We start from the raw sequence: 22307 nt of genomic DNA on the forward strand, positions 1-22307 counted from the left end.
TGGGTAGACACCCAGTAGTGGGATTGCTGGATCAAATGGGAGTACAACTTTTGGTTCTTTAAGGAATCTCCACACTGTTTTCCATAGTGGCTGTACTAGTTTACATTCCCACCAGCAGTGTAGAAATGTTCCCTGATCACTGCATTCATGCCAACATCTACTATTTTTTTGATTTTTTGATGATGGCCATTCTTGCAGGAGTAAGATGGTATCGCACTGTGGTTTTGATTTGCATTTCCCTGATCATTAGTGATGTTGAGTATTTTTTCATGTTTGTTGGCCATTTGTATATCTTCTTTTGAGAATTGTCTATTCATGTCCTTAGCCCACTTTTGGATGGGATTGTTTTTTTCTTACTGATTTTCCTGTTTGTTGTAGATTCTGGATATTAGTCCTTTGTCAGATGTATAGATTATGAAGATTTTCTTCCACTCTGTGGGTTGTCTGTTTACTCTGCTGACTGTTCCTTTTACTGTGAAAAAGCTCTTTAGTCCCAACAATTTATCTTTGCTTTTATACATTTGCTTTTGGGTTCTTGGTCATGAAATCCTTGCCTAAGGCAATGTCTAGAAGGGGTTTTCCAGTATTATCTTCTAGAATTTCTATACTTTCAGGTCTTAGATTTAAGTCCTTAATCCATCTTGAGTTGATTTTTGTTTAAGGTGAGAGATGAGGATCCAGTTTCATTTTCCCACATGTGGCTAGCCAATTCTCCCAGCATCATTTGTTGAAAAGGGTGTCCTTTCCCCATCTTATGGTTTTGTTTGCTTTGTCGAAGATCAGTTGGCTGTAAGCATTTGGGTTTATTTCTGGGTTCTCTATTCTGTTCTATCGGTCTATGTGCCTATTTTTATACTGGTACCACGCTATGGTACTGTGGTGACTATGGTGACTATGGCCTTATAGTATAGTTTGAAATCAGGTAGTGTGATGTCTCCGGATTTGTTCTTTTTGCTTAGTTTTGCTTTGGCTATGTGGGGTCTTTTTTGGTTCCATATGAATTTTAGAATTGTTTTTTCCTAATTCTGTGAAGAATGATGGTGGCATTTTGATGGGGACTGCATTGAAATTTTAGATTGCTTTTGGCAGTATGGTCATTTTCACAATATTGATTCTACCCATCCATGAGCATAGGATGTGTTTCCATTTGTTTGTTTTGTCTCTGATTTATTTCAGCAGTCTTTTGTAGTTTTCCTTGTAGAGGTATTACCGCTCCTTGGTTAGGTATGTTCCTAAGCATTTTATTTTTTTGCAGCTATTGTAAAAGTGGTTGAGTTCTTGATTTCATTCTCCTCTTGGTCGCTGTTGGTATATAGAAGAGCTACTGATTTGCGTACATTAATCTTGTATCCAGAAAATTTGCTGAATTCTTTTTTCAGTTCTAGGAGCTTTCTGGAGGAGTCTTTAGGGTTTTTGAGGTAAACGATCATATCGTCAGCAAACAGTGACAGTTTGACTTCCTCTTTACTGATTTGGATGCCCTTTATTTCTTTCTCTTGTCTGATTGCTCTAGCTAGGACTTCCAGTACTGTGTTGAAGAGGAGTGGTGAGAGTGGGCATCCTTGTCTTGTTCCAGTTCTCAGAGGGAATGCTTTCAACTTTTCCCTGTTCAGTATTATGTTGGCTGTGTGTTTGTCATAGATGGCTTTTATTACACTGAGGTATGTCCCTTGTATGCTGATTTTTCCGAGAGTTTTAATCATAAAGATGTTGGATTTTGTCAAATGCTTTTTCTGCATCTATTGAGATGATCATGTGATTTTTAGAAAAAATTCTTTTTATGTGGTGTATCACATTTATTGACTTGCATATGTTAAACCATCCCTGCATCCCTGGTATGAAACCCACTTGATCATGATGGGTTATCTTTTTGATATATTGTTGGATTTTGTTAGCTAGTATTTTGTTAAGGATTTTAGCATCTATGTTCATCAAGGATATCAGTCTGTAGTTTTCTTTTTTGGTTATGCCCTTTCCTGGTTTTGGTATTAGGGTGATGCCGGCTTCAGAGAATGATTTAGGGAAGTTTCCCTCTTTCTCTGTCTTGTAGAATGGTGTTAAAAGGATTGGTACCAATTCTTCTTTCAATGTCTGGTAGAATTCTGCTGTGAATCCATCTGATCCTGGACTTTTTTGTTGGTAATTTTTAAATTACCATTTCAGTCTCGCTGCTTGTTATTGGTCTGTTCCAGGTATCTAATTCTTCCTGATTTAAGCTAGGAGAGTTGTATTTTTACAGGAATTTGCCCATCTCTTCTAGATTTTCTAGTTTATGTGCATAAAGGTGTTCATAGTAGCCTTGAATAATCTTTTGTATTTCAGTGGTGTCAGTTGTAATATCTCCCGTTTCGTTTCTTAATGAGGTTGTTTGGATTTTCTCTCTTCTTTTCTTGGTTAATCTTGCTAATGGTCTATCAATTTTATCTATCTTTTCAAAGAACCAGCTTTTTGTTTCATTTAGCTTTTGTATTTTTTTTTGTTTGTTTGTTTCAATTTCATTTACTTCTGCTCAGATCTTGGTTAGTTCCTTTCTTCTGCTTGGGTTAGGTTTGGTTTGCTCTTGTTTCTCTAGTTCCTTAAGGTGTGACCTTAGAAAGTCAGATTTTGCACTTTCAGTCTTTTTCATGTAGGCATTTGGGGCTATGAACTTTTCTCTTAGCACCACCTTTGCTGTATCACAGAGGTATTGATAGGGTGTGTCATTATCGTTGTTCAGTTTGAAGAACTTTTAAATTTCCATCTTGATTTCATTTTTGACCCAATGCTCATTCAGGAGCAGGTTATTGAATTTCCATGTATTTGCATGGTTTTGAACATTCCTTTTGGAGTTGATTTCCAGTTTTATTCCACTGTGGTCTGAGAGAGTGCTTGATATAATTTCAATTTTCTTAAATTTATTGAGGCTCATTTTAGGGCCTATCATATGGTCTATCTTGGAGAAAGTTCCATGTGCTGTTGAATAGAATGTGTATTCTGCAGTTATTGGGTGAAATATTCTGTGTATAACTGTCAAGTGCATTTGTTCCAAGGTATAGTTTAAATCCATTGTTTCTTTGTTGACTTTCTGTCTTGATGACCTGTCTAATGCTGTCAGTGGAGTATTGAAGTCCCCCACTATTATTGTGTTCTTGTCTATTTGTCTATTATGTCATTTCTTAGGTCTATTAGTAATTGTTTTATAAATTTGGGAGCTCCAGTGTCAGGTGCATATATGTTTAGGACTATGATATTTTCCTGTTGGACAAGGCCTTTTACTATTATATAATGTCCCTCTTTGTCTTTCTAAACTGCTCTTGCTTTAAAGTTTGTTTTGTCTGATATACGAATATCTACCCCTCTCACTTTTGGTGTTCATTTGCATGAAATGCCTTTTTTTACCTGTTTATATTAAGTTTATTGAGTCCTTATGTGTTAGGTGTCTCCTGAAGGCAGCAGATAGTTGCTTGGTGAGTTCTTATTCATTCTGCCATTCTGTATCTTTTAAGTGGAGCATCTAGGCCATTTACTTTCAATGTTAGTATTGAATTATGAGGTACCATTGCATTCCTCATGTTATTTGTTGCCTCTGTACCTTTGTTTTTGCTTTTTAACTTGTATTTTTGTTTTATAGGTCCTGTGAGGTTTATGCTTTAAAGAGTTTTGATGTGTTTCTAGGATTTGTTTCAAGATTTAGAGCTCCTTTAAGCAGTTCTTGTAGTGGTGGATTGGTAGTGGTGAATTCTCTCAGCATTAGTTTGTCTGAAAAAGATTGTATCTTTCCTTCCTATACGATGCTTAGTTTCACTGGATACAAAATTATTGGCTGATAATTATTTTGTTTGAGGAGGCTGAAGATAGGGCCTCAATCCCTTCTAGCTTGTAGGGTTTCTACTGAGAATCTGCTGTTAATCTGTTAGGTGTTCATTTATAGGTTACCTGGTGCTTTTGTCTCACAGCTCTTAAGGTTCGTTCCTTCATCTTAACTTTGGATAACCTGAAGACAATGTGCCTAGGTGTTGATCTTTTTTGTGATACATTTTGCAGGTGTTCTTTGTGCTCTTGTATTTGGATGTCTAGGTCTCTAGCAAGGCCAAGAAAGTTTTCCTCAATTATTCCCACAAATATGTTTTCCAAACTTTTATATTTCTTTTCTTTCTCAGGAACATCGCTTATTCTTAGGTTTGGTTGTTTAACATAATCCAAGACTTCTTGGAGTCTTTGTTCACATTTTCTTATTCTTTTTTCCTTTGTCTTTTTTGGATTGGGTTAATTTGAAGACCTTGTCTTTGAGCTCTGAATTTATTTCTTCTACTTGTTTAGTTCTATTGGTGAGGCTTTCCAGAGCATTTTGCATTTTAAAGTGTATCCAATGTTCCTGAAATTTTGATTTTTTTATTTATGTTATCTATTTCCTTGAATATTTATCCCTTCACTTCTTGTATCGTTTTTTTGGATTTCCTTGCATTGGGTTTCGCCTTTCTCCGGTGCCTCCCTGATTAGCTTAATAACTAACATCCTAGATTCTTTTTCAGGTAAACCAGGGGTTTCTTCTTGGTTTGGATCCATTGTTGGTGAAGTAGTGTGATTTTTGGGGGATGTTAAAGAGCGTTGTTTTGTCATATTAGCAGAGTTAGTTTTCTGGTTCCTTCTCATTTGAGTAGGCTCTGTCAGAGGGAAGGTCTAGGGCTGAAGGCTGTTGTTCAGATTCTTTTGTCCCACGGGGTGTTCCCTTGATGTAGTACTCTCCCCCTTTCTCTATAGATGTGGCTTACTGTGAGCTAAGCTGCAGTCATTGTTATCTCCCTTTTGGGTCGAGCCACCCAGCAAGTCTACCTGGCTCTGAGCTGGTACTGGGGTTTGTCAGCACAGAGTCCTATGATGTGAACCATCTATGGGTCTCTCAGCTGTGGATACCAGTGCCTTTTTCAGTGGGGGTTGCAGAGGGGTGAAATGGACTTTGTGAGGGTTCTTAGCTTTGGTGGTTTAATGCTCTATTTTTGTGCTGGTTGGCCTCCTGCTATGGAGGTGGTGCTTTCCAGAGAGCATCAGCTGTGATAGTATAGAGAGGAACCAGTGGTGGGTGGGGCCCTAGAACTCCCAAGATTATATGCCCTTTGTCTTCAGCTACCAGGGTGGTTAGGGAAGGCCCATCACGTGGGGACAGGGCTAGGCATGTCTGAGCTCAGATTCTCCTTGGGCGGGTCTTGCTGTGGCTGCTGTGGGGGATGGGGGTGATGTTCCCACATCAATGGAGTTGTGAACGTAGGAGGATTATGCCAGCCTCTGCAGAGTCATGCAGGTTGTCAGGGAAGTGGGGAAAAGATGGCGATCATAGGCCTCACCCAGCTCCCACACAAACCAAAGGGTTGGTCTCACTCCCACAGTGCTCACACTAACAGCCTCGAGTATGTTTCCAGGCAGTGGGTGAGCAGGGCCTGAGAACTTGTCCCAGGCTACCTGCCTCCCAGCTGTGAAAAAAAAGGGCTTGGTTCTTCCCCCAGCTATGGAGTCTGCACACCAGTTTCATGCCTTCCCCCGAGTTCTAGCCAGGAGAGTTCTTATCCAGTTCAAATTGTTACAAAGTTTAGCTGGAGATTTCCTTCTCCCTGTGGCATTTTCCCCCCACTCCTCTGGCTGCCCTCTCCAAGGATCCCTGTGGTGCCAGGCAGGAATGGGCTGCTTGGGGACCCAGGGAGCTCCCAAGGTCTTTCCTGCTGCTTCCTCTACCCCTGTATTTCGTTCGGCTGTCTAGACTGACTCAGCTTCAGGTAAGGTCGGAAACTTCTCCCACAAACAGACCTTCAGTTTCCCCAGTGGGGGTTGTGTTCAGCAAAAGAGGATCTCCTTTTCCCACTTCTGCAATTGGGGTACTCACAATATTTGGGGTGTCTCCCAGGTCCTGTAGGAGCAATCTGTTTCCTTCACAGGGTCTGTGGGTCCTCTCAGGATTCCTGGTTTGTTCTTGCAGTTGATCTGGAGGTAAAACTCACAATGCGAGCCTCTGCATGCTGCTCTGTCTGTCCAAGTCAGAGCTGCAATCTAGTCCTGCCTCTTGTCTGCCATGATTGCATTTTATAGTTTAAAAAACACTTTATTTTATTTGCAAGAACAGATGCTCTTTATATGTAGCTTAGAAAATGTAGGCAAACAAAAAGAAAACAGTAAATCTCTCCCACAATCCTATTATGCAAGGATAAGAATTCTTAAATATCTTAGACACTAGGTTATTTGGTATTCTTACTATTTTTTTCTATTCACAGAAAAATACCTATTAGTCTTTAAAAATAGAAATATGATTATACTACAATATTGTTTGTAACCTAATTTTTTAAACTCTATATATTGAAAAATATTTTCATTTATTGTTTTAAAATAGCGTAGCCTTCTACACTAATTCAGAAAATGTCAGCATCAGGATGCGCTGAAAAAATACTCCCATTAAGTAATATAACACTTTTATTTTAAAAAGGATCCAAGAACTTTACCTGCATTATTAATTTTATCAAATACACACACACACACAAACACACACACGCTCAAAAGCGTGAAGTAGTGAGGAGCATCGGTAACTTGTTTTATTCTTTTTTCAGAATAAGATCTGAGACAGATAATTACTTGCATAGAAACAGTGATTGTGGGATTTTCTGACTTCAAGTGTCTCTTTTATTAAAATACAACTCTTCCCCTGCCACATCAATGGTTATTTGCATATATCATGGGAAAACACTTTCTGATATTTCATAAGAGCTTCTAGATATCTCAAATGCACAGTAATAGCTAGGAAAAACTTTCTATATTTTATCTGCCCTGGTTTCACCATTGTTTAGTGAAAGCCTAATCTGTGGTATGAGGACATATTTTAGTGTAAATTAATTTCACTGACCAGTCAACCCCCACAGTAGTGGTTATTCATTACTTTAATTCATCTATAGACCATGCTTGGAGTTGAAGACTTTGGAGTAACTCTGAGGTCCAGAGGTAGGGACCTCAGAGGGAAGCATCTCTCTTGCATTTGTTTTAATAAGGTCATTAATCCCATTCATGAGGGCTCAGCCCTCAGGACTTAATCCCCTCCTAAAGGCCCCACCTCTTAATGCTATCACATGGGTGATTAAGTTTTAATGTATGAATTTTGGGGGACATATTCAGGCCATAGCATTCTACCCCAACCCTTTAAATTCATGTCCTTCTTACATGTAGAGTATATTCATTCTATCCTAGTAGCCCCAATTAACTCATTCTAGCATCAACTCAAAAATTTTTATCTAAATTAGATATAGAAGACTTAAGGTAGAGAGACTTCTGCTGATATGGATGGAGGTTGCATAGGGATCTAGGCACTTTACTTTGGACTAAGTATGCAGATCAAATGGAGAGAAAGAAATGAGTGAGTGCCTGTATTAGTTTTCCAGGGCTGCCATAACAAAGTACCACAAACTGGGTGGCTAACAACAATAGATGTGCATTCTTTCACAGTCCTGGATGCTGCAAGTCCAAAATCAGGTGACAGTAAGGCTATGCTCCCTCTGAGAGTCTAAATAGAATCCTTCCTTGCCTCTTCCTAGCTTTGATGGTGGCCGTTGATCTTTGGTGTTCCTCGACTTGCAGCTGCATAGCTCCAATCTCTGCCTCCATCTTCATGTGGCATGCTTCCCTTGTATCTTCACACTGTCTTCTTACATGGATAGCAGTCCTGTTGGATTAAGGGCCCACCCTCCTCAAGTATGACCTTGTTTTAACTAATTGCATCTGCAATGGCCCAGTTTCCAAATAAGTTGCATTCTGAGGTACTGGGGGTTAGGACTTCAATATATCTTTTTGGGGGACAAGATTCAACCCATGACAAATAGCATAACACATGTCCCTTAAATATTAGCTTTGGTGACACTGGAGGAAGAAAATGAAAAAGAAAAAGAAATACTAGGTTTGGATGTAAAGATTCATAAAGTAATGGTGAATGTGACAGCAGCCATTACTATGCTTTTCTTGCCTTTTTCCAAATCTACACTTTCTTGATGACAGTGAGGAAAAGGGCAAAAGAAATGATATGATATTTGGTTTTCTGAGAAATAATGACCCTTATAAGGTCTAGTTGTCAGAGGTCATTTTTAAAAATAACTACAAAGCCTGTCATTAGTGTAGCCTTTTACAGTTTACAAAACGCTGTCACAGACATTATCACTTTGATCCTGATAACATTCCTGTGAATTGGATAATGCAGGTATTCCCATTTTCTCCATTTTACAAAAGTGGAATCAGATTAAAGCAGGTTCCACAGCTGATAAATTGTGGCCTCGTGACATCAGATTACTTTTTCATACTACCCACCATACCTCAGGAAATGCAAAAAAATCACTCTCTTTTCTGTGGCGTCCTACATTATATTTTGCAGGTATATACAGCTATTTCCTTAGGACACATCAACCTGGGAAAGTTGTGGGGGAAGCAATAGAATAATAAACCCATCAATTCTTGGGAATGACTGAGAAACATTCTCCCCAGATTTTTCAAGTGCCTAGGTACTTCTAGATGGCTTTAGGGTTTTCTGTTCAATCGGCAAATTTAACATGTAGCCTATGCTTTTCTTCAAGGCTTTCTCTCCACGTCTAACGAATTATATGCACACATTAATCTATACGGGCTGCCTTAGTCTATTTGGAGTTTTGTAACAAAAGACCTTAGACTGGGTAATTTACAAACAACAGACATTTATTGCTCACAGTTGTGGCAGCTGGGAAGATCAAGGCACCAACAGATTCAGGGTCTAGTGACAGCTTTCTGTTTCATAGAAAGCACCTTCTTGCTGTGTCCTCACATGGTGGTAAGGGAAGGAATAAGCAAGTCTCCTTAGGGCTCTTTTATAAGGGCACTAATCCCATTTATGAGAGTAAAGCCTTTCTGACCTAATTACCTCTTAACGGCCCTACCTTCTAATACCATCACCTTGGAGGTTAGGATTTTATATTGGTCTATTTGTGCTGTGATATTGTTTGTATGTGTGACCTCTCCAAATTTCATGTTGAAATTTGATAACCACTGTTGGAGATGGGGCCTGGTGGGAGGTGTTGGGGTCATGGGGGCTTATCCTTCATAAATAACTTGGTTGCCTTCCCTGCAGTAATGAGTGTGTTCTCACTCTATTAGTTTACCTGAGAGCTGGTTGTTTGAAAGAGTGTGACACCTCTCCTTCTCTCTCTCTGCTCTCTTTCTTGCCATGTGACATGCCTGCTCCTCTATTGCCTTCCATCATAATTGGAAGCTTCCTGAAGTCCTTACCAGAAGCAGATGCCAGTGCCATGCTTCTTGTAAGCTTGGAGAATTGTGAGCCAAATAAACTTCTTTTTCTTATAAGCTACCTAGCCTCAGATATTCCTTTATAGCAACATAAAATGGACTAAAACATGCTGGTATAACAAAATACCACACACTGGGTAATTGTAAACAGATAAATGTTTTTCTCACAGTTATGAAGGCTGGGAAGTCCAAGATCAGGCTGCTCATAGGTTCAGTGTCTGGTGAGGGCCCAGTCTTTGCTTCCCAGATGGTGTCTTGTACCCTGTGCCCTCACATGATGGAAAAGATAGCAGCACAAAAGGGAGGGAAGCATCTCTCTTGCATTTGTTTTAATAAGGTCATTAATCCCATTCATGAGGGCTCTGCCCTCAGGACTTAATCTCCTCCGAAAGGCCCCCCCTCTTAATGCTATCACTTGGGTGATTAAGTTTTAATGTGTGAATTTTGGGGGACACATTCAGACCATAGCATTCTACCCCTGACCCCTCAAACTCATGTCCTTCTCACACGTGGAATATATTCATTCTATCCCAATAGCCCCAATCAACTCATTCTAGCATCAACTCAAAAATTTTTATCTAAATTAGATATAGAAGACTTAAGATAGGATTCATCCTGAGACAAATTATCTTTCCAGCTGTGAACCTATAAAATTAAACAAGTTATGTTTCCAAAATACAATTGTGTTACAGGTGTAGGATAGCAACAGGAATAAACTGGAAAGAAGAAAGGAGTAACTGGCCCCAAGTAAGCCCAACAAACAGCAGGACAAACAGCACTAAACCTTGAAGATTGAGAATCATTTTCTTTGACTCCATGCCCTGCCTTCTGGATGCACTGGGGCAGGAGTTGGGTACCTGAGGCCCCAGGCAGCCCTACCACCATGGCTTTTCTGAGTTTAGCTCACTCAGCAGCTCCCAGGGGTTGGAGTTGGGTGCCTGCAGTGCTCCCACACTGGCACTGAATGCTGGTAGTTCTATAGGTCTGGAGTCTTGGCGGACATCTTGCTGTCATGGCTCCACTAAGTACAGCTCTACTGGGGTCTCTCTGGGGTGGTTTCAACCCCATAGCTTTGCTAGGCATTGCCATGGCTCAGACGTTATGGTGGCCCTGCCTCTGTGGCAGTTCTCTGACTGGGCCTCAAGGCTCTTGGAGGCATTCTTTGAAATCTAGGTAGAGGTACTTACGTCTCTATAGCTTCTGTACTCTGCATGCTTGCAGAGTTAGCACTACATGGATGCTACCAAGGCCTACCTTTTGTGTCCTCTGGAGTGACAGCTGAAGCCACACTTGGGCTTTGCTTGAGCCACAGCTGGGGCAGCCAAGGGGTACTGCACCAGAATGTGGGGAGCAGAGACTTGAGATGGCTCTGGACAGTGAAACTCAAGGTCCCACAGGAGCCCAGGTCCTTCCTTTGAAACCATTCTGTTCTCAAGGCCCTGGAACTCTGGGCCTGTGATGGAAGTGGCAGTACTTATAATCTCTGAAATGACTTCAGGGTCATTCTTCCATTGTGTTGATGAATAGTATCTGTCTTTTTTCTGTCCATACTAATTCCTTATCAAACAGTAGCTTGGCCATGCCCTTGGTATTCTCTTCCAAACATACTTTGTTATTCCTCACAATCTGGCCAGGCTGAAAATTTTCTACATCTTTAAGTTCTGCTTTTTTTAAAAAATTGCAAATTCTGTCTTTAATTCATTTTCTTCTTGCATTTTACTCTAAGCAGTCAAGTGAAGCCAGATAACTCCTCCAATGCTTTGCTTGTAATTTTTTTCCACCAAATATCCTAGTTCTTTGCTCACAAGTTCTGCTTTCCACAAAGCATTAGGACATGGATACAATTCAACCCAGTTCTTTGCAACTTTATAACAGGGGTAGTCTTTCTTCCAAGAAAGGTTATTTCTGTTACACGTTTCTGTAAGACCTCATCATAATTGTCCTCCCTCGCTCCCTCCCTCCCTTCCTTCCTTCGTTCCTTCCTTTCTTTTTTGAGACTGAGTCTCACTCTATCACCCAGGCTGGAGTGCAGTGGTGCGATCTCTGCTCACTGCAACCTCCACCTCCCGGGTTCAAGTGATTCTCCTGCCTCAGCCTCCTGAGTAGCTGAGATTACATGCGCCCGCCACCACGCCCAGCTAATTTTTGTATTTTTAGTAGAGATGAGGTTTCACCACGTTGGCCAGGCTGGTCTTGAACTGACCTCAAGTGATCCACCCACCTTGGCCTCCCAAAGTGCTGGGATTATGGGCATGAGCCACTGCACCTGGCTTACTGTCCATATTTCTGTCAACATTCTTATCATGACCACTTAAGTAATCTCTAAGCAGATTTAGGCACTCCCTATAGCTCTTCTCTTCTTCTGAGCCCTCACCAGAATAGCTGTTTATGGTTCAGCCTCTACTCATTATCCAGTTCCAAAGATGCTGCCACTTTTTTAGATATTCATCATAATAACATAGCACTCACAGTACCAATTTTTGTCTTAGTCCATTTGTGTTGCCATAACAAAATACCACACACTGGGTGATTTATAAACAGATACACTTATTGCTCACAGTTATGGAGGCTGGGAAGTCCAAGATCAAGGTGCTGGTAGGTGCAGTGTCTGATGAGGGGCTGGTCTTTGCTTCCAAGATGGTGCCTTGAATACCGCGTCCTTGCATAGTGGAAAGGATGTGAAGGCAAAAGGGAGGGAGACAGCTTCCTTATGCCTCTTTTATGAGGCTATTCATCTCATTCATGAGATTTCAACATGTGAATTTTGGGGGAACACAAATATTCAGCTCATAGTATCCCCTAGATCTTACACAAAAGGTGACATACTACAGTCTTTTGGACCTTGCTTTTTTCACTTAACAATGTATCTTGGAAGTCTTTACATAACAGTGTATTGAGATCTTCTTCATTCTATGTTACACTACATAGTATTCTCTTATATGAATGTACTATTAATTATTTAACTTGTTCTCTATTGAAGGGCATCGGGGTTGTTCTAAGTTATTATTATACACAATGCTGGGGGGAAATCATGTACACACATCATTTAGTTAAGTACATATGCAAGTATATCTAGGACAAATTCCCAGAAATGAGATTGCTGGGTCAAAGGATAAATGCATTTGTTATTTTGATAATTCTTGCCAATTGTCCTCCATAGTAGTTGGGCAAATTTGCAATCCTTGTTGCATGGTATGTGTTTCCCCAAAACTTTTGCCAATACAGTACATTGTCAAAATTTTAGATTATTTTCTCAACTTGCTTAGGATGAGTAAAGTGAGCATCTTTCCATATGTTTAAGGGCCATTTATATTTTCTTTACTGTGAACTGTTAATGTCCTTTGCCGTTTTCAGCTGGATTATTGGTTGCTTTTACATTTAGATGCATATTATGGTATTTAATTATCTTAAGTATACAACTAGCAGATGTTCAATGCAAAAAAAAATTAGAAAATAAGAAATGCAAATAACCTTCGAAATATAAAATTACTCTGATAACTCTCCAAATGTGATATATGACTTTTAGGTGTATTTCTGTGTACATACACATTCATTTTTATAATATACACATTGTCAAGTAATCCCTTTTTTCACTTAATAAATCATGAACACCTTTTTTTTTTTTTTTTTTTTTTATGAGATGGAATATTGCTCTGTCACCCAGGCTGGAGTGCAGTGGCCTGAACTTGGCTCACTGCAACTTCTGCCTCTCGAGTTCAAGCGATTCTCCTGCCTCAGCCTCTGAGTAGTGGGGACTACAGGCATGTGCCACCATGCCCAGCTAATTTTTGTATTTTTAATAGAGATAGAGTTTTGCCAAATTGGCCAGGCCAGTCTCAAACTCCTGACCTCTGGTGATCTGCTTGCCTTGGCCTCCCAAAGTGCTGGGATTGCAGGTGAGAGCCACCGTGCCCAGCTGATCAACTCTCTTTAGCAACCTAAAATCTTCCTAGAGGCAGGGGATGCTTGGTGCTGGAAGGATGCAGCAAGTTCATGTCCACAGGAAATGGAATGCTTTATACACCGAGGAGACCAAGAACAAACACCAAGTTTGAAGTCATGTGAAAGGAAATTAAATCTTGAGACCCCAAACTCACTTAGCCAAAGGGAAAAGTCAAGCTGCGAACTGAGTCACGCAAAGCTGCCTTCCCCTTTTAGTTCCTAAATAAAATGGCTATGAGATGAAAAGCTACACACCTCCCTCATATTTTGCCCAAAAGGAAATTCCTAGTGATCTGTTAAAGTTCACCATGGCAACGTAAATCGATAACTTATCTTTACAGGTGCAGTCACCTTGGCCCACCAGACACAAATGCATATCTGATTGTTCCCCTTCCCCATTTGGTCTATTTTTATTTTATGTAAAATGCAGATTCTCTGCATTTTTCCTCCGCAACATTTGTTTATGTTATCTTATGTAAAAAATGCAGATTCACTGAGCCAAAGGCATGAATAACTATTTCTTCCTGCCCCCCGCTTACATGAAAATTTTGTACTTCTCTATTTCCTGCCCTTTCCCCTTTACATTTGGAGCCCTCAAAATCGTCTTCCGAGAAAGGCATAGACTTGTCTCTTGGGTGTGTCCTTAACTTTGGCAAATATGTCTCCTAAAATGATTGAGACTTGTCTCGTAATTTTTTTCTTGACTGACAGTCAGAAGCGGGAGCAATGATAGGATCTAAAAGGTGAGGCAAGAATTCAAAGATGAGATACTGGCAGGTACAGGTTAGACCAAGAAAGGGAGAGGAGAGATCCTGGGTTGGACAGTTGTCTCAGAATATGGGTTAATCAGTACTGACCTCAGTGTGGATTCTCACCTGTGTCAGGATAGACTAAGGGCTGAGGCAGGGGTCATATTAGCTTGGTCCCAATCAAGTATTCCAATTCTACCTTAAATGTTACAGGAAAGGGTCCTGATCCAGACCCCAGGAGAGGGTTCTTGGATTTCACGCAAGAAAGAATTCAGGGCCAGTCCGCAGTGCAAAGCAAAAGCAAATTATTAAGAAAGTAAAGTGGTGAAAGGACAGCTGCTCCATAGACAGAGTAGGATGTTCCTGAAAGTAAGAGGAGGAATGTGTCCACCCTAGGTACAATACTCTTATATATGGGGAGATGTGTTCTGCTACAAGGGTTTGTGATAAAGGCTTAATGTTCTTAATTACTATATTTTGCAAGAATCAATATTATTATCTTTAAAGCAAAATTAGGAATGTGTTTGTTCTCCAAATATTGGGATATCTGGACACTCCCAAGTCTGGGTCTGTTTTAGTAAATATTATTAATTTGTTCCCTTAACCATAAACATCTAGAGGCTAGGAATGTTTAATTTTCTGGGAATGCAACCCAGCAAGTCTCAGCCTTATTTTCCTAGCCCTCACTCAAAATGGAGTTGCTCTGGTTTGAAGTCCTCTGACATAAATATTTAAAGAGTAATTTCACCAGCACTGTATACCACTTCCTACAAAGAGAAGTTAAAGATTCATTAAGTTACATATATTATCTGGGGATTTGTGAAATATAATTTTCTTAGTCCATCTCTTGCTACCCTTCATCAGTAAAGACATAAAACATGATATCATTGAAATATACAAGATAATTTTTATTTTAATTTTGCCTCTTGCCTTGTGGTTCATATTAGGAAATTTATTATAGCCTTGGGCTTTTGCTCTTCTCCTATGGCTCTCGAGTGTTCCCCTCTCCACCACACACATTCCTTTTGTATTCCCAGTGGTTTTCAAAGTGCATTCAGTGCTATCACCTAATGGAAGTTCCTAGAAATGCTATCACCTGCATTTCTAGGAATTTCTTAGAAATGCAAATACTCAAGCCCCACCTCAAATCTTCTGAATAAGAAACTCTGTGGGTATCCGCAATCTGCGTTTTAACAAGCTTACCAGGTGATTGTGTGGTATAATCAGGTTTGATAATTGCTAGTTTAGAACAAGAGTCCTTCAATATTTTTGTGAGGAGAAACTACAATGAAATTTTAGATGGAAAGCAGAGAGGGGCTTTTCATTTAACATTCTGGCAATCCCATGAGACAAGTATGTTTATTCTCAACTTATAGCTGAGGAAACAGAGGCCAGCCCAGAATAGTAAAGCAATTGTCCCAGCTTTTAACAGCTGAAGCTGGGATTTCAACCAAAGTATGCTATCCTCAGAGGAGAGAGGGAAGGCAAGGAGGACAGAGAGAAATATGGATGTATGTGTTTCTGTGTGTGTGTCTGTGTGTGTATCAAGGAGAAAGGAAGAAGATCTGTGTACTAATATGGCTAAGGTCCTGGCCCCTACCTCACACCATATACAAAAATTAACTCAGATCGGGAGCAGTGGCTCATGCCTGTAATTACGGTGCTTTGGGAGGCCTAGTGGGAAGGATTGCTGAGGCCAGGAGTTCAAGACCAGGCTTTGCAACGTGGCAAGACCCTGTCTCTACAAAAAATAGAGAAAAAAGTAGCCATGCATGGTGATGCATACCTGTAGTCCCAGCTACTTGGGAGGCTGAGACAGGAGGATTGCTTGAGACCAGGAATTCAAGACTGCAGTGAACTATGATTATGCCACTGCACTCCAGCCTGGGCAACAGAGTAAGACCATCTGTTAAACAAATTTAATTCAGAATGAATCTAAAATTATAAAACTCTTGGAAGGAAATAAATATAGGGGTAAGTCTTTGTGACCTTGGATTAGGCAATGGTTTCTTGGATATGACACAAAAAACACAAGCAACAAAATAAAAAATAAATTGAATTTCATCAAAATTAAAAATGTTGTGCTGCAAACAATGTTATTAAGATAGTAAAATTAGCCCACAGAGTGGGGAAAATATTTTAAAACATATATCTGATATATGATATGATAAGGAACTTGTATCTGGAATACATGAAGAATTCCTACTATTCAACAATAAGAAACAAATAACTCATTTAAAAAATGGGGGCTGGGTTTGGTGGCTCATGCCTGTAATCCCAGCATTTTGGGAGGCTGAGGTGGGTGCATCACTTGAGGTCAGGAGTTTGAGACCAGCCTGGCCCACATTGCGAAACCCTGGCTCTATGAAAAATACAAAAATTAGCCAGGCGTGGTGGTGCACGCCTGTAATCCCAGCTTCTCAGGAGGGCTGAGGCCCAAGAATCACTTGAACCTGGGAGGTGCAGATTATAGTGAGCCAAGATTGCACCACTGCACTCCAGCCTGGGCAACATAGTGAGACCCTGTCTCAAAAAAAAGAAAAAAAGGCAAAAGATTTGAATAGACATTTCTTCAAAGAAGATATACAAATGGCTAATAAGCACTTAAAAAGATGCCCAACATCAATACTCAGTAGGAAAATGTATATGCAACCTACAATATAATATCACTTCACACCCAGTAGGGTGAATGAAATAAAAATGATGGATAATAATAAGTGTTGGTGAGGATAAGCAGAAATGAGAAGCCTCATACATTGCTGGTAAGAATGTAAAATGATACAGAACTTTGAAAAACAGTTTGGCAGTTTTTCAAAATGTTAAATATAGAGTTACTATTTGACCCAGCAATTCTACTCCTAGATATATACCCAAGAGAAGGGAAAACATTTTTGAAACTAAAAATAAAATCCTAAGCCCCTCACTGACTGAATGGACTCCCTTTTGGCCAATGGGACCCCAGAAAAACCCTAATAACTGAATTCCTGGCCATGATCGGAAGGGAGGCCAGACATAACTCATTTTATCCCCTCCCTCCACTTTTTTTTGGAGACAGGTCCTTGCTCTGTTGCCCAGCACATGGCTAACTGCAGCCTCAACCTCCTAGGCTCAAGCAATCCTCCCATTTCAGCCTCCTGAGTTGCTGGAACCACAAGTGTGTGCCATCATGCAAGGCTAATTTTTTAATTTTTAATTTTTATAGCTACTGGGGTCTCCTCTATTGCCCAGGCTGGTTTTGAACTCCTGAGCTCAAGCAGTCCTCCTGCCTTGCCACCACACTTGGCCTATCCCCTTTCTTGTGGAGTTTAGGCACAACAACAGACCACAGGGTCAGAACCTTAGCTGTATTAACACATAGACCTTTCTTTCTCCTTGATAGACACACACACACACACACACACACACACATTAATGTTAAAGAAATCCTAATTTGAACAAAACTGACTCTGTGGCAATAAGGAATGAAATTATAAATAAAACCTAGGGCCATGTGAGACAGGGATTAAGTCACGCCTGCAGGCCAATAATCTTGCTACGTAGCCTCCTTCTCTGAATTTAAAATATTCCTTTCTTTTGACTCCAAGTTTTACAGAGAGCCTTGCTCCTTTAACCAATTGAAAATTAAAGAATCTTGGAATACACTTATAACCTGTAAGCTCCCCCTCAAGATAGCCCATCTTTTTGAGCCAAACCCATGTATACCTTCCATGTGTTGATCTATGTCTTTGCCTGTAATTCCTGCCTCCCTACACTGTATTAAACCAAACTGTAATCTGATAGCTGCAGGTACACTTTCTCAGGACTTCTGGAGACTGTGTTTTCCCTGGCAAAAGTCACTCACATTGGCTCAAAATAAACCTCTTTAAAATATTTTGGAGTCTGGTTTTTCTGTTAACAATATTTCCAAACATAAACTTTTAATATGAGTGTTCATGGTACTGTGATTCAAAACAGCCAAGGTGGAAACAACCCAAATTCCCACCAGCTGATAAATGGGCCAAGAAATGTGGTATATCCATAAAATGGAATATTATATGGAAATAAAAAGCAATGAAACACTGATATGTGTTACAAAATGGATGAACCTTAAACAAAGTATGCTAAGTGAAAGAAGCCAGACAGCAAAGGCTGCATATTGTATGATTTCATTTACATGAAATGTCCAGAATAGGCAAATCCAAAGAGATAGAAAACAGATGATGGTTGCCAGAGGTTGAGGGGGAAGGGGGGAAAAGAGTAATTGCTAATGGGTATGGGCTTTCTTTTTGGGGTGATAAAAATGTTCTAAAATTAGATAGTGATAATGGTTGCATGATTTTGTGAAAATACTTAAGACCATTTAATTGTATACTTTTAAAGGGTGAATTTTATGGTGTGTTATATCTCAATAAATCTGTGACAAAAAATATAGTTGAGGTCTTGTGATGTAAAAGGGCAGAGCAGGAATAGTTCCTTTATCAGGCGTGCTCACCTTCCAAGAGAGATCCCTTTGGAATCACAAGGAAGAGGAGTAACTTAGAAAAACTTTGAGATATGTTACTAGATTCCATTATATTGCTTGGAGACCTCTGCCCTAAAATACTCGTGTCCTGAAGACTTTGCCAAATTAAATTCAGAAAATTAATTTAAACCTGAATTGGGAAAAATACTCAGGAGGAAAGGTATTCATGTCACTGAGCCCCTTTTGACATGATAGACAGAATGAGGAACTGATACAGATGGGATGAATAGGAAGAGATGCCATCAAACTAAGAATGACACGGTGGACTTTGGGGACTCGGGGGGAAAGGGTGGGAAGGGGCTGAGGGATAAAAGACTGCAAATTGGGTGTAGTGTATACTGCTTGGGAGATGGGTGCACTAAAGTCTCACAAATCACCACTAAAGAACATGCTCATGTAACCAAACACCACCTATTTCCCAATAACCAATGGAAATAAGAGATTTTTTTTTTTAAAAAGGAAGAGATGCTATCACAAAAAATTTGCAGATTTCATGATTGAGGGTATCTTTGCTCATTATTCCTATGAAAGACGTGAGCTTCTGCCTCTCAGTCCAAATGAAGATGGATGTGTGTATCTGCTGGAAGGTAACAGCATTCCAGCTGGCTGTTGAGCTTAAGGAATCTGGAATTCAGACTTAATCAACAGCAAATACAGTTATCCACGCTCTCTGTTGCTTGTCCAGGTCACCCTGAAGAGGCCACCAGCTGGTGTTTCAGGATTGAGCTGATAAGATATTGTTATCTGCCAGTCTTCATTTTTAAGCAAAAAAAAAAAAAAAAAAAAAAAAGGATTCAAATGAACATAGGGATTCTTGTTTTTGGCTCTCAGTGTGTGAAGGTGAAGAAACAGTTTAGAGTTTAAAGGCTAGAGGGTTAGAAAATGGAAGTGCTCACAGGACATCTGCTCCTCTACTAGGTGGAAGAAACGTGTCTAAGAAAGGTGTGTACCCCTTCCTCTCCTTTACGTCCCCAATATCTTGGGTTAGGTTCTCCCATGTCCAATCCTGTCTCTGAAATGTCCCTTGACAAGTTTATCGGGCTTCACTTTTTTGTTACTCTACTGTAAACATTACTGTTACCACCAGTTTTTTTTCCTTAAGATACAAACTTGAAGCTGTTTCTCCCTTGCCGATGAAAAATCTGTGGTTACTGTTTTGAATCACAGGATAAAGTACAAAGTCTTCACATAGGATTCAAGTTTCTCATCAAGCCACAATATACTTGTCCACTCTTGCTTTCCTGCCACACATCCTAAGTCCCTGCTACATTTAAAGAGTTTAGGGAGTATCTGTAGCTTACTTCCTCTACCCTCTGTATTCTTATTAATCTTTGAAGGCTCAGCTCAAATATATCTCTTCTAAGAAGCCTTTCTAATTCCTCCAAGCAGGATTAAATGCTCCTTGCAGGGGGTTCTGACAAGTCTACACTCCTTTTCCTGCACTGAATGCTTGGGAGGGCTGAGTCAGTTTTCCACTCTAGGCTGAATGCCTTGAGACAGACTTTTTTTTTTTTGAGATGGAGTTTCGCTCTTGTTGCCCAGGCTGGAGTTCAATGGTGCGATCTCGGCTCACCGCAACCTCCACTTCCTGGGTTCAAGCGATTCTCCTGCCTCAGCTTCCTGAGTAGCTGGGATTACAGGCAGGCACCACCATACCCGGCTAATTTTGTGTTTTTAGTAGAGATGGGGTTTCTCCGTGTTGGTCAGGCTCGTCTCGAACTCCCGACCTCAGGTGATCCACCCACCTCAGCCTCCCAAAGTGCTTGGATTACAGGTGTGAGCCACCGAGCCCGGTCCTGAGACAGACTCTTATTCAGCTAGGTATTCATGTCTAGGCCATTGCATGTTTCTTCTTTCTCTGTCTCTCCATACACACACACACACACACACACACACACACACACACACACACACACACACGGAGAGATCTACATCTGGATCTATATCTACCCACATTTTCTTTAATGAAGAGGGTAGACACTTGGGCCAGAAATGTAAAAAAAAAAAAAAAAAAAAAAAAAAAAGAAAGGCTAAAATGATGAAATTGAGACTGGGAAAAGGTTGTGCTCAAACTGGAATTTGTACCTTTTACTTTTCTCTCTGAAAATGAAGGGCACCAAAAACGAAGGTGCCAAGAATGAAGGCAGTGAGCAATGCCAGAATCGTCAGGGGCTTTTGTGATTTGAAAATGGCGCCCTTAGCAGGAAATTAAACTGAGCTCATTATCTCATTAACTTTTGACAGGAGAGGGAATATTCCACTGAAATTGTATTATCTTTCTGATATGACAAGTTGGTAACAACCTGGGATTTTGAAAGATGCTTTGTTTCCTTAGCAAGAAATTCCACCAATACAAATGAGTATCCATGGAGAGGAATTCCATTTTAGAAAGATCCTTAGAAAGGCAGGAACCATGCATGCCTAAATTGCTTTGTGTGCATGATGAATCCCAATGGTTGATAAAGGTATCCTTCCATTAAGATTAAATCTTACCACCAACATATTGGAGTGGTTAAAAACTGCTCTACAAGATAATTGTGCATGACCAACCTTTTTCCTTCTCCCAAGAGATCCTTTGAAATGCAGATAACAATCTCAGCATGCTTATTAGCTGGCACCATTTTTAATGTCCTTCAGCTTCTAAAGGGATATTACAAATTCTATGTTTGATCAAATGGTTTACATTATGGCCTTGTTTTTCAAAGATGGGAGGAGGTATATTGGAATTCTTAAAATTACCTGTTGATCAGACAGGCACTTACTTTATGAACTAGAAGGCATCTCTGTTTTTGGGGGAAATCATTTTATTTCTAAAGGTGGGAGGCAATGTGATACAGTGGGAAGAAAAATGGGTTTCAAGTCAGAGACATGGGTTTTCATTCTAGGTCTTCTGCAAGTTTGCTTAACTTTGATATCAATTCTTTTAACTAGGGCATATGCCATAAAAGGTTGGGCCAGGTGGGGTGAGGAGAAGGCTACCAAATGTGATCAAAATGGTAGAGCACTGGCTGGGCATGGTGTGTGGCTCACGCCTGTAATCCCAGCACTTTGGGAGGATGAGCTGGGTGGGTCATCTGAGGTCAGGAGTTCCAGACCAGACTGGCCAACATGGTGAAACCCCATCTCTACTAAAATACAAAAAAATTAGTGGGGCATGGTGGCGGGCATCTGTAATCCCAGCTACTTGGGAGGCTGAGGCAGGAGAATTGTTTGAACCCGGGAGGCGGAGGTTGGTTGCGGTGAGCCCAGATCATGCCACTGCACTCCAGCCTGGGCAACAAGAGCAAGACTCTGTCTCAAAAAAAAAAAAAAAAAAAAAAGTGGAGCACTTTCCTGGCCCACAAAGGTCTTTCTGTGTTAGTCTGGCAGGGGAGGTCCTATCATATGCTCAGCAAATATTATGAGGAATGATTTTATTTGATGCCTTTCAAATACTCTTCTCTTTATATTCTGTTAAAACTTTTGATTAATATTGAGAGGTAAAGAGTTCGATATTTTTAAATTCCTTAATGATTATCATCACAGTTTTGCAGGGTGAATACCAATAAATACCCCACTTTGGATGTGACAGAAAAAAGCTGAGAAGGCCCCCAGAGAGGTCAGTTTCTCAAATAGCGGGTGTCTACGTCTGTGTGAAGGCAAGGTGAGAGGGTGCTACCAGGCTGGCTCTCAATTCCCTTTAGGAAATTATTTTAAATCTGCTTTAGTTCACAAAGCAATGAGCGCTTATATTCGAGAAACTGAAATCATACTCTCTTTACTAAATACAGGTTTTTCTTTCTGTATTTTTTATAACAAGATCAGCACATAGCCAGCACAATAAAGAGGTCACAAATAAACAA

At 40.2% G+C, this 22307-nt stretch overlaps 1 long non-coding RNA gene across 5 annotated transcripts in view, besides 1 other annotated feature; it reads left to right on the forward strand.

Annotated features, from left to right (window-relative positions):
- LOC105379364 (uncharacterized) overlaps positions 1-22307 on the forward strand; it is a 535736-nt gene that overhangs the window by 27777 nt on the left and 485652 nt on the right. The window lies entirely within an intron of this gene.
- Positions 4881-6080: an enhancer, noted in NCBI's record as "MED14-independent group 3 enhancer chr8:33612557-33613756 (GRCh37/hg19 assembly coordinates)". NCBI's record gives its function as "activates an origin of replication core promoter dependent on BRD2, BRD4, P300/CBP and CDK7 cofactors, and independent of MED14, by STARR-seq in HCT116 cells {active_cell/tissue: HCT116}" and the evidence as "EXISTENCE:reporter gene assay evidence [ECO:0000049][PMID:35650434]".

Source organism: Homo sapiens, chromosome 8 (genome assembly GCF_000001405.40).
Source record: "Homo sapiens chromosome 8, GRCh38.p14 Primary Assembly".
In the NCBI taxonomy this organism is placed as follows: Eukaryota; Metazoa; Chordata; class Mammalia; order Primates; family Hominidae; genus Homo; species Homo sapiens.